Raw genomic sequence first — 13,602 nt, 5'->3', positions numbered from 1 at the left:
CTCTACTTTCTTGGGACTGTTTGACAAGAAACTTGCCCACAATTTGGAAATTTTAATTATATCTTAGTTTAATACTCATCTCCTTATCCCCCAGCAATAAGTTCACTTTCCAATAGCTCTGGCTAAGGTGCTGTCTTCAATTATTGCTTTACAGAAGCTTTATGTGAGACTGGAACTGTTAATTATGATACGTCCTAAGCTCCATTTCATTCACAGCACATTTCGATACCACAGCTGACCGCTACCTTTGTCAAGTTTTTAGTGGCAGGAAAACAGAAATATTTCCATTGGTAATAGCATTTTTGTTCCTCCTTCCCTTTCCTTGGCATGAAAGTCCCTCACTGTCCCCTTGGCTCCTCCTAGACCTCTGTGAGCTCTGAGTTCTGCCATTTTCCCCTACTGGACATACTATAGAGATAAATTCCTCCTTTTGTCTTTGTTCCACATTCCTAAAGATTGTAAGAAGATTAATGAGCAGAGGGATGCTGATAAATCTAGAAAATATAATTGTATAATGGTAATATAAAAGGATCTATTAGACATACTGGAGAATAATTTTTTAGAATTGTACTTTAAGTTCTGGGATACATGTGCAGAATGTGTAGGTTTGTTACACAGGTATACATGTGCCATGGTGGTTTGCTACACCCATCAACCCATCATCTACATAAGGTATTTCTCTTAATGCTATTTCTCCTCTTGCCCCCCACCCCTCAAAAGGCCCCGGTGTGTGATGCTCCCCTCCCTGTGCCCATATGTTCTCATTGTTCAACTCCCACTTACGAATGATAACATGTGGTGTTTGGTTTTCTATTCCTGTGTTAGTTTGCTGAGAATGATGATTTTCAGCTTCATCCATGTCCCTGCAAAGGACATTAATTCATTCTTTTTTATGGCTGCATAGTATTCTATGGTGCATATATGCCACATTTTCTTTATCCATTTGATCATTGATGGTCATTTGGGTTGGTTCCAAGTCTTTGCGATTGTGAATAGTGCTGCAATAAACATACGTGTGCATGTGTCTTTATAGTAGAATGATTTATAATCTTTTGGGTATATACACAGTAATGGGATTGCTGGGTCAAATGGTATTTCTAGTTTTAGATCCTTGAACAATTGCCACACTGTCTTCCACAATGGTTGAATTTACACTTCCACCAACAGTGTAAAAGCGTTCCTATTTCTCCACATTCTGTTGTTTCCTGACTTTTCAATGATTGCTTTTCATTAGAGAAATGCAAATCAAAACCACAATGAGATACCATCTCATGCCAGTTAGAATGGTGATGGAGAATCATTTTTATTTTGTTTCTACATATAAAGGGAAGGAAATGATTGTGGATTTTGTGTAAATGCTCTGATAAAATAATCCCACCTTAGATCTTACCCCATTTAACTCAGATTGTTTAAAGTCTTAAGAGCTCCAGTCTAGTTAGATTGATTTGCAGAATGTATCAGATTTGGAGTAAGATCTTGTAGACTAGGAAATCATCAGAGTATTCATAAATACAGAGTTTCTGTCACATGGATCCCAAGTCTTGTCAAATGCTCAGGCAACCCACTTTCAGAAGATTGAGTCATCTCTTTTTCTCAAATGTTTCTGTCCAGTTTCAAGTTTAACTCTTTTGTCACAGATATCACTTCTGAGAAAGAGAAAGAACATGTTTTAGTGTGAATAGCAGGATACTGGAGCGAGACTTGGATTTAAATTGTTGTTCTGACATGTATTAGTTTTAAGATGTGGATAAGTTGTTTAACTTCCTCAAACACTGATTTCTTCATCTTCGAAAAGGATATATTACCTATGTCTAAGTGATGTTGTGGTGGAGTATGTAAAGTACTTAGCACAATTCCTGGTATATGGAAAAATGTGTATATAGTATAATTTATTCAGCAACTCACAATTTATAACTTTAATGAATACCCCTCAGTATGATCATTGAGGTAAATGAAGTCATCTCAATAACACTGGCTAAACACAATCCAATAACTAATGCAACACATTTTATATAATGGAATTCCCTACGTATGTTTTGAGTAGTTGAAAGATAAATAATCCCAATAAGTTTCACAACTAAAATATAAGGAAAATAATGTTAGGCAGAGCCATGAGTTTACATGATTGGGCAATAGGACAATAGTTCTGGATCGCAGGCAGAATATTCTGCCTAATTTAATGAAATGCAAGGAGTCAATAGAATTTTTCTTTTACTGCTTAGGAATTCTCAAGTATCATATGTAATAACATAAAGGATTTGATATAAGAACAGAAAAAAGTGTGGAACTGCGAAAAGTAAATCTCTACTTTCTGACCATGGGCACCCAAAGGCATTTGGCCACCATTGTCTTTTTCTTTAAAATGAGTATATTTTATTGCATCTCTGAGGTATTTCCTTTTCTATTTTGAATCTAACATTATTCTATATTTTCTCTGAAGATAAAATTGTTTAGGTTAAGTATCTTAAATAGTAGTAGTGGGTGAATCACACATTGGCATAATTTCAGATATCCATTAACCATACTTATACATTTGAAAAAGTTTAAAAAAAATCTACAAATAAAACTGCAATATGTTAAGTTACTGCTATAATTTGTTAATAAAGGCATGATGGTACTATTCATTTTTATTATGTATAACAGGTTAATGTACATAATAAAATTCACATAGCAGAGTGAAAAGTGGACCAGGCAGCACAAAAGAAGCTTTTCTTGATGTAGTTAATACTACATCTGTTTTGTAAATATGATTTCACTCTTTGCCTCTGTCAACCCACTATCTTTAATAAGAATTAAAAATCACTCAGAATTACTGAAAGGAAATAAAAGTTATTGCCAGGCATTAAAAATATTTTTATCACAGCTGGTGAATATAATATTTTTTATTATGACTTTAATTTTTAAAAGGTGGCATCTTGTCCTTTTGTAAGTGGATTCTTAACAGAAATATTTGCAAATAAGGTATTTGGAAAAGCTAAAATGATTTTTATTTTCCACCAGAGCTTCATGTAGAGAAAATGAAACAAATCACCAAGGCAACAAATGGTTTCCTGAGTGGTCTTGTGTTCATAGACAAAGCTATTTATTCATGCTGGTGTACAGTTGCTCCCATGGTAGAAGCATCACATTTATTCATTCATTTTATTAATCTAACAAGTATATATTGAATGCTTACTATGCACTTGACATGTTGAAAGGTGTGGGGATACAACAGGCAATCTGTTCTCATGGAACCTTTCGTCTAATGGGGAAAACAACCAATTACAGAAATAGCAGTGATGTCTGATAAGAAAATGAATATAGAGTGCTATGGAAATGAGGATAGGGATACAGGGATACCTAAAGAACCTGATTAGCTTTGTTGCAGGGTAGGCAGGGATAAATATCGGGAGGCTTTCCTGAGGAAGTGAAAATTAAGCTGATTTGCAGAATGAAAGCCACAATGGGGTTGGGAGAATGTTTTAGGCAAAGCTCTGGCAGGTGTGTGGGGAGAGAGAGAGAGATAGAAAGAGAGAGTGGGTGGGGGGCGGGGGGAGAGAGAGAGAATGAATTGCACATTTCAAGAATGGAAGGACAATATGGCTGGGATGTAAGGTGTCCAATATGAGTAACAAGATATAGAGGATGCAGAGATAGATCAGCACCCTGTCACAAATATCATGAAGTTGAGATATTTGTTATCTTAAAGGAAATAGGATATTCCATCCATCATTAAAACTGGTTCCAAATCCCAGCTTGCCCAGACTTCTTTCCCATTTCATCCCCCTGATTTGAGCTCTCTCCTATTTTCTGCCACAACCTGTGTTGCCCATTCTTATACCTGTTCAGTAAAATAATGGTTTCCCCTTTTACTAGCTGGATGACCTTCTCAGCACTGCAGTTTTCTCATCCATGAAAGGGTACCTATCTCACAGCGTTGTTTTAAGAATTCGGTGAGATAAGAACTATAAAATGCTTAGGATATTACCTTGTAGGGAGTAGGCACTCTGTTCTTTGTTAGGGTCTATAGCTTCTTTATCTTTGTATCTTTTTTTGTGGTGCACTTCTTGTATTTATCCTGCCAATGACACTGGTTCTAATTCTTGTCATTCCAACCAAATGTCTGCAAGGTGGCATGTCTACGTGGGGGAGATTGGAACAGGGGGCTTGATGTATCAGAAAAAAAATGTATTGAGTGGCAAAGAGGAGCATAAATACAGCTAATAGTAGGGAAAATTTAACATAACCTGACCTTTTTGTGTAGAAAGAGAAGAGATTCTATGACTGTCTTAATAACCTGGGATTAACCATTTAATAGTGTCAGACATATGAAATACTAATGCCATTAATATAATAGCTTAACTTTCTTTTATTAAGTATTCCATCCAGCTGCAAGAGGATCATTCTAATACACAAACCCAACAACATCACTCTCAGCAACCTATTGAAAGATGAGTAGTTACACAAATTCTTACCAAAGTATACGATTCTCTTTTGACTTAGAACCTAAATTTCTCTCATGTCTTATCTTCTTTCATTATACCTTGTATTTTACACTCCAAGAATGTTGAAAATACATGGACGAGACCATCTTTTAAATCTGTGTTACCTTCCCTATCTTTCATTAAACTAAAGGACACATTGGCCTTGCTGGCTTCCCGCCGTTCTTTGAAGGTGTCAACCATGTTTTGGTTTCGGCGACTTCCATTTGTTATTTTTTTTTCTAGATGACCATCCACCCATCTAAATTCTACTTATATTCCAGATGTCACCTTACATGTCACTACCTTTCCTAAAATTTTATGTATTCTTGGAGTACACTCTGATTTTTATGCCACATTTCCACACATAGCAACTCATAGTGCATACTGATTTGTGTGATTATTTTGTCTTTCTTTTGACTAGACAGAAACTCCATAAGGAAAGGAACTGTGTTCCTTTTTCTTGTGTGTGTGTGTGTGTGTGTGTGTGTGTGTGTGTGTGTATAATGTCTGGGACATTGAAGGTACTTGAATTTAATAAAAACACGTTTAGTCTTTAGACCAACCTGGTGATCCTTCATATCTTAAAGATGAGGTGCATTCACAGAAATAATAAGTTTTATAGTGGGGATTCCAACTCAAGTCTTTATGACTCTAATATCCATGTTCCCATTCACTATTATTCTCTCCTGATTGAATCACAACAAAGTTATTATTTAGTTAAAATATACTCTTGATAATATACTTTGCATTTCATTCCTTCTCAACCTAAATATCTAATTAAATAAAAGCAATGCACTTATATAGGGCTTAATTTAAAATTACAATTAGTTGTAGATTTGTAGTTTTTCAGACATATATCCATAGTCTGTAAAACTAAACTTTTAGAAATAAAATAAAACTTTATTATATGAATCATACCAATCATCTGTTAACACATCTGTAGTAAATGGTTTTCCCTCCAAACATGATTACAGGATGTTACTTCATAACATTAGCCCTTTTTGATTCTGTGAGTAAAAACAACACAATGCTATGAAGAGCTATGAGACTGAGAGTATTGTCCTTTATAAGACCTTTACATAAATCTTATATTCTCAGACAAATGTGGGTCTGCAGAGGAAACAACTGCAAATGAAATTTTACAACTTAGATAACATTTACACATTTACTGCGCTCAGGCTGGGCACGGTGGCTCACGCCTGTAATCCCAGCACTTTGGGAGGCCGAGACGGGCAGATCATGAGGTCAGGAGATCGAGACCATCCTGGCTAACACGGTGAAACCCCGTATCTACTAAAAATACAAAAAATTAGCCTGGCATGGTGGCGGATGCCTGTAGTCCCAGCTACTTGGGAGGCTGAGGCAGGAGAATGGCGTGAACCTGGGAGGCGGAGCTTGCAGTGAGCCAAGATTGCGCCACTGCACTCCAGCCTGGGCGACACAGCGAGACTCCGTCTCAAAAAAAAAAAAAATTTTACTGTGCTCAAAACTTTAAAAAATATTATAAATCTTTCATGATGTACAAAAAAGAATTCATCACTGCCCTTTAGTATTTATCCATTATTTAATTTGAATGTTTGGAATATAAGATTTTCTTAAAGCAGATTACCCATGATTATAGCTACCTGAGGGACCTGTCTTGTTGCATGTATGTATGTTTCACCAAAGGCAATCTGAGAATATGTGTTGGATCAAGATTCAGAAAATATAGACTTGAGGTTTCCATTTATTATACTAGTAATCTTAGTAAACTCACTTTATCCTCTCTGACCCTTATTTTTCTCAAGTCTGAAATGGGGTAATAATACTGGCTTATCAGTAGTTCCTGAACAGGATTATTGTACAGAATCAAATTAGTTTATATATTTGAAAAGTACGAAGTACTCTATACATGGAAAGGATGAGAGAAATTATTGAAAATAAGATATCCTAGCATAAATTGGCATCTTTCATTACCATTAGCATCACCGTATGGTAGAGAAAAATGAGAGCTGTGTCTGTATATGTGTTAGAAGTAATCTTAAGTGACACAGGTCACATAAATACTTAAGCAAACTTAAGTTAAAAGAAGATCTAAGAGGATCACCTTTGTGAAGGTCTTGGCAAAGAACATCCCAGACAAGGGGAGTAGCTAGTGCCAACATACACATAAGGTTTAGTGTAGCAACTATGTATACACATAGCCAATAAATAGCAGCTGATGGTGTTTCTGTTCCCTCTCCTCTTTCTCTCTCATTTCCTCATTTCTGGGAGTCTGACACTGAAGGATAAATTTCACTAATTCAATTAGCTAGTTACCACTCTGGTGGCAAATTTCTATTTGTGTAGTCATGGTGATGGGGATTTCCTCTGGCTTCAGTGAATAATACTTTGCAGGTTTATAGCCTCTTACTGGTGAGAGAAAGATACCAAATGTTTTAGCTTCTTCTTCCATTTGTGCGTTCAAAGATAGTACCAGATTCAAAAGCCTATGAAAATAACCTTTGCCCCTCATATCTCTGTTTTAATATGCTTACCCACACATATCACTTTCTTTGTATCTAAGTAATTCAGTTCTCGAGCTAACCTTTTGGAGATGACAGGTTTTATGAGAAACGGGTTTGAGAGTAAATGAATGAGTTCTTGGAATTTGGAATTCTATTTACCTATTAAGTAAATTTAAGCCGAAAGTTCCCGGAAAATGTTTACTCTCTGGAGTCTTCCAAGCATAAACAGTTCTCCTACTCTGCTCTGTGCTCAATTTCTTTGTATGCCACTATCCCAGTTGTCATGGTTAGAAAAGTAGGAGTTAACCTTGATTTTTATTTATTCCTAAATCTCCCACAGCCCCAATCCTTATTTATTCTATTCCTTATAATCTGTCCTTTATTTACAATTTCTACTACCAGTGGTCTTTTTCAGAGACTCACTAATTCTTACCTGGATTTCTACAATAGAATCCCTATTTGTCTTCCTACCTTTCCTATCTTTCCACTCCTATACATTTTCCACACCATTAACTTGAACCTTCCCTTAAAAAATATACATACAGGCCGGGCATGGTGGCTCACGCCTGTAATCCCAGCACTTTGGGAGGCCGAGGCGGGCGGATCACGAGGTCAGGAAATCGAGACCATCCTTGCTAACACGGTGAAACCCCGTTTTCACTAAAAATACAAAAAATTAGCCGAGTGTGGTGGCAGGTGCCTGTAGTTCCAGCTACTTGGGAGGCTGAGGCAGGAGAATGGCATGAACCCGGGAGGTGGAGCTTGCAGTGAGCCGAGATCGCACCATGGCACTCCAGCTTGGGCGACAGAGCGAGACTCTGTCTCAAAAAAAAAAAAAAAAAAAAAAAAAATATATATATATATATATATAATATATATACAGACACACATACATGCATGTGTGTGTATAAATATGTGTGTGTATATGTGTATAAATATACATATATATGTGTGTATATGTGTGTGCATTTATGTGTGTGTGTGTATATATATATATAATTTGCATGTATATCACAACTCTGCAACTCTCGTTATAATCCTTCAGGGATTCCCTGTCCCCTACTGCTCCCTTATTCAAAATTTTGTTTGTTCACCAAATGCAATATCATCTGCTAGAAAACTGCTGGAAATGCAGGATCTTAGTCCCCGTGTGAAACTACTGAATCAGAATCTGCGTTTTCATAAGATCGATAATTGATTTGTATCCTTAGTTGATTTTGCACATTAAGGTTTGAGAAGCACTGCCCTTCAAGATAAAGTCTGCATTGTTTCCCCTGCAGCACATGGCCCTCGATGTTGTATCCCTTGCCTAACTGCCTATCTCAGATCCCACTACCTTTCATGCCTTAGTCAACTATAATCAATAACATTTGGTTTCCCCAAATAATTTGAATTTCATCCTCTTGTTTCTTCGTTGTGCCTGTTTTTTCTTATGCCTGGAATACCTCTCAACTTCCTAGCTTGATACTTCCCTAATACATTTCTTAACCTTTAAGATTCAGCTAAATGCGGATTTCTCTTTAAGTACTTTCCTTGGTATTGTCCTACTAGACTGAGCCCATCAGCCTCCATGTTCTCCGCACATTGTCTGCATCTTTGTTATAGTCTTTATCTGGTTGTGTAGTTAGCTTTTCCATGTGCCTATTTCTTGCTAGAATGTGAATTCCTTGAGGACAGGGGAAGTTCTTAGTTGTATTTATAGCTGATCACTTACCATGGTACTGGCAGATGTACTACAAGTGTTGATTGATTCTTTCATTTAACAGACATTTGATAGCTATTTCACTGTTCAATAAGTGAATGAGTGGGTGAAATTCTTCCTTCCTCTAATTTACACACACACATACATACATACTACACACACACACAACACTCTTATGTAGATATCCATGTACTTCTGTGTGTGTATATATAGACTCATGTGCACATATACACAAATGTTTTAGCATATATACATACATGTACACACATATGTACATGTGTATATATAATGTGCATTTCACAATAAATAGTTGTGAAAGAAATCTTTGTACTCTGATGGAGAAACTATTCAGTTAAGAGACAGCCAATTGGTAAACTTATCTGTGAATATTTGGTGAGCCTGAAATGATACTTGGAAGTGTCATTTTTGTATAAAAGAAATGGACTAATAGAGGTAAAATTCCTTATATACACCTGGAAAATGGCAATTGAATCACATCTATGATAAACCAAATTATCATGATCATAATTGAAATTTCTAAAATTTAAGTACAAAATACTTAGAAGACAATTGCACCTTTTTATTAAACAAAAACTAAAGCAGTCAGATCTGCTTTTCAGTTTGATAAAAGAATGCCAACTCATGTTCATTTAATTTCTTAGTGATTTAATATAGCATGGTATTTTTTGGGGAAAATTATTTGACTTTATAATATATATATAACATATTTATCATAAATATACTATAAAAGAATAACAATATTAATGTAGTATATTTTACTATGAAAACATTAAAGTGAGTTAGAAAGGTGTGCAATAGAAAATTAAAAAATGATGTTATTCTCCTAAATTATCAGGTTATAAAATAATTGGAGAAATAATATAATTTTTTTAAGTGGAATACATTATGTTTTACTCAACTTTCAGGATACAAACTTGTCTAGGAAGAGGTTCACAGCAGTTCGGCTACTTTTTTATACTGGTTTACATTTCAGAGAACAAAGTGTATCAGTATCATTAAATGGCTTTATCCCAAGTAACCTACAAAAGGAACTTAAAAAACTATAATAGTAATTATTACTTGGAATTTGTCCAACTAGCCACAGATGACACCAGCACTATGCATACAGGAGCTGAATGGATGTTACGTTATTCTGTGGTTAAGATCTGAGTTAAAAGCTTTACAGACTTTCAAATGTTCCCTTAAAATTGTTCTGAAACCCCTAGACAGAAATGACTTAGAATAATCTATTATACCACTTTACCAAGCAGCAATGTAGTTAGCAGTAGAGTCTCCTCGAAGACCATTTAATTATGTTTCAAAAAAGAATATCCAAAAGTCAAATTTCAAGACATAAATCATACCATTTATTATCTATGCCAGCAAGAATTTTGATTTTTGTATGAAAACACATTTCATAAAGTATTAATTTTTTTAGCTTACCTCTCGCATACTTCATGCTTTTACAATGAGAAATATAACCTTTGATGCTGTCTTTAAGATACCCTAAAATAAAATAAATTATTTGTTTTTAAATAGAGTTCTAAATAGGACATTACAAGGATAATTTCTTGATATTCTTAATGATAAAAATTTAAAAAATTTATTTGCTAAAGAAACCATAAATGAAAGTATACATTTTAAGCAAAATAAACTCTTCCTCCCTTTCTTTGTTTTGAATCTCTTAGGATTTCTAGATATGGTGTTTTCTTGCAAGTCTCTTAAAATAAAACTGTCCTGAATTAATACACCCATAATTTACTTAGAAATCTAAAGTTCTGTTTAAACTGAGAACATATCTAATTGCTAGTCCGTTCTGGCTATTGCTTGATGTTGGCCATGGCACTTGATCTACAAAAGCCTGCACATTTTCTTGTTGATTAACATTTGTCCCAAAATACATATTCATAGGTGTCAGGAAGACAGGGCATATATGCAAGTAATATCCATTGACCCTTTTCTTTGTGTTAGGTTTTGCCAAGATTTTAGGTAACTGAGAAAATCCTCCGATAAGAGAAAGCTCTGTACAATTAACTTGGTGGCATTCCATGTGTACTTTTCAGAAAACACTATCCAATGTATATGCATTTTTTGAAATTCAAGAAGATCATAAGCAAATTTGTATGAATTGCATATTTAATAGGTTGTAATTATGTCTTATCAAAAGCTCAACTTTTAAAATTCTTTATTCTTTGGAAATATGGTAATTGTTACCTTTCCCATGTAGTTAATTATAAATTTCAGGAAGAATTAAGTGTGCTAAATCTCTTTACTTTGTTTTTTCTTTGTCTCTATGGTAGCAGAGAGAATAGAAGTGAATTACTTTCATCTTGTTTCTGAATGGCATTTCTTTCTTCAAAGGTTTGACTTTATTTTGGGGTCCTGAAATTTCATATATTTTTACTAAGTGAATTTATAAATATGTTTGGAAGAAAAAAGTAGCTTGTTTTAGAAGTTACAGTCTTTTATGTTTCCATGAGACTTTGTAGTTTATAATAGATAAGATCTGCCAATGAAAAAATATTTATTTTCTATAGTAGTAATAATATCCAAATTTTCCTTTTTGCAAGGAGAAAAGTACAATTACAGCCCATTCCGTTTTTCTCATCTGATTACTAGGATGCAATGACAGAATGCAAATATTAATTACATTAAAAATATTTCACAAAACTATGCTTTTAAATCTTGTATTTAGTAGCTTAAATTACTCTATTGCATTCAACTATGCATAGTAATAACTCAAACTTTGGAGACTGACAGAGCTTCAGAGAATATTGGGACATGCCTCCATAAAATACTAAAATACCATATTATATTTTTTAGAAATATTTATAACCAATGATTTCAAGTAAATAATCCCAGACTGCAGAATCGGTTTTGGCTCCCAAATTTAGTTATCTTAAATTGCTGCAGTATTTCAGACATTCTTTCCATCTTCTATATACTGACAAAAAAGTTACAAACAAAACTTAAGTTTAAAGTTCTTGACATTTGCTAAGCGCTTTCATGTACTTTTTCTCATTTAATTTTCATAGTAACCTTGTGAGATAAATATTACTATTTTATACTCAGATACAAGAATATAGACTCAGAGGAGCTAAGTGAAACAGGAGAAAGATCCCCAATTAATAAGATAGATATTAACATGTAAATTATATAGTATTTATCTTATTACTATTAGAGTATATATCAGGCCCCTAGACATATATGTTATATATATTATAATGTATATAGTTTTATAATCCTTACAATAATTCCTTAAGCTAGGTTTTATTTTTTCCACTTTATGGATGAGAAAACTGAAACTCACAGAGATTAAGAAATTTATCCAAAGCCACAGATGTAAAAAGTGAAAACTCTGGCATTGTAACCCGGGTCCAGTCAGTTCCTCATGGTATTAAACTCTCTCCTCTACTATCTAGGGTTAATGTGATGATACAATGAGCTGACAATGCATGTCAAGTGCCTGGGATCTAATGGTGCTCAATGTATTATTTCATCATACATCTAGGAAATGCTTCCTAAGTCAAAGCCCGCTGTCCTCTCCCCATTGATACCCTGAAATATCAAGTCACAACAATGGTTTCCATTTATAATCCTTTAATGTGGCCAGCTTGAAAACTCAGAGCCTATTCCACTCATTACTGTTAATCTGGGTAGCTAGGTGCTTAGAATATTTTAATGTAGAGTGTTTAATCCTCTTATGCACTAGTTAGCCACAGACTGCACCTCTGTTAACCTGGGCAAATGTCTGCCTGAAGTCACAAAGGATTTTGAAAAGTGTTGAGGATGACTCAGCACCATCATCACTGCCCACTGAAAAACGCTTGTTCTCAGCATCCTTTGGAGAATAGGTCAGCAGCATTTTCTTCATTTACAAAAGAGGCAAATTCATGACTCCCCAGCATGGCTTCAGTTTTAGTAAGGATTTCCTCAGAAACAAATTAGGCCAACTTATTTTAAACATCTTTTGAAGCCTGAGAAAATAAAAAGAAGCAAATGGAAGGATAAGCCCAGGAAGGGATGAAGTCATATGTTGAGGAATATGCCCAAAGTTGAATGAAAAAAGTTAACACTAACCATGAGTATGTTTGGCATCTGTAATTGACACATTGAACAAGGAATACTCATGGGATGTAATAATAGAAGTCATTTTATTTTGGATTCCCCATTGTTTGTTTAAAATGGCTTAATGTCAGTGGTCCTTACCCTGCCCTCTAAATGAAAACGGGTATTCTCATAACTTTCCATTTACAGGAAATGAAAAGTCCTACAATCACTTAATATCACAAATACAGTCCCAATGTATTAATTAAAATTGCTCAGTCCCAAATATTAGTCAAAATTCTGAACACATTCCAGATGAAAGATTCTCTTTTTTCCACTGTGGGGTCTTCAGACAGGACATCTGCTTTGGGGGAAGGGGATGTCATAGACTTCTCTTTTCATTTTTTTTTTTACTAGTTTTTTTTTTTATTCCTATTTACGATTACTTTTTTTTTTTTTTCTATTTACCTATTTACTAGTTGGTTATTGATCCTTCCAAGTTTGGAGCATAAGAGGGAAATAAGAAAAGGAGACAAGGAAAGTTCTTATTAAACTGGAATTGTGTTTTTTGCCTTCCGAACCTGACATATAATAACAGTAAGAATAACCAAAAAGGAAGAAAATTACTGACAAATAGTGCTGATTATGTATAGAAATAGTTTTAAGTGCTTTACTTATAACTTTTAAAATCTTCATAACTAATGCAAAGAGAGGTAAAGCAACTTGCCTAGGGTTACATAGCTAGCAAACAGTGGATCTGGGATTTTAACGCAGCCAGAAAATGTCTGGCTTGAGTTTTTCCCTCATGGACACTTTCCTCAGTCTTTGGAAGTTTCCCCTTCTGGGCCTAAATCTCCTATGATGTGGATGAGGCATTTCCTTAGCGTCACATTTTACAGCAGCC

General features: G+C 34.7%; 1 protein-coding gene across 21 annotated transcripts in view, besides 1 other annotated feature; it reads left to right on the top strand.

Moving 5' to 3' along the window:
- DLG2 (discs large MAGUK scaffold protein 2) overlaps nt 1-13,602 on the top strand; it is a 2,173,362-nt gene that overhangs the window by 497,604 nt on the left and 1,662,156 nt on the right. The window lies entirely within an intron of this gene.
- Nucleotides 6,826-6,875: an enhancer, noted in NCBI's record as "active region_5359". NCBI's record gives its function as "activates an Ori minimal core promoter by ATAC-STARR-seq in GM12878 lymphoblastoid cells {active_cell/tissue: GM12878}" and the evidence as "EXISTENCE:reporter gene assay evidence [ECO:0000049][PMID:35858748]".

This window comes from Homo sapiens, chromosome 11 (genome assembly GCF_000001405.40).
Source record: "Homo sapiens chromosome 11, GRCh38.p14 Primary Assembly".
Classification (NCBI taxonomy): Eukaryota; Metazoa; Chordata; class Mammalia; order Primates; family Hominidae; genus Homo; species Homo sapiens.
Note: the sequence above shows the minus strand (reverse complement) of the source record. Positions and strands in the feature narration are given on the sequence as shown.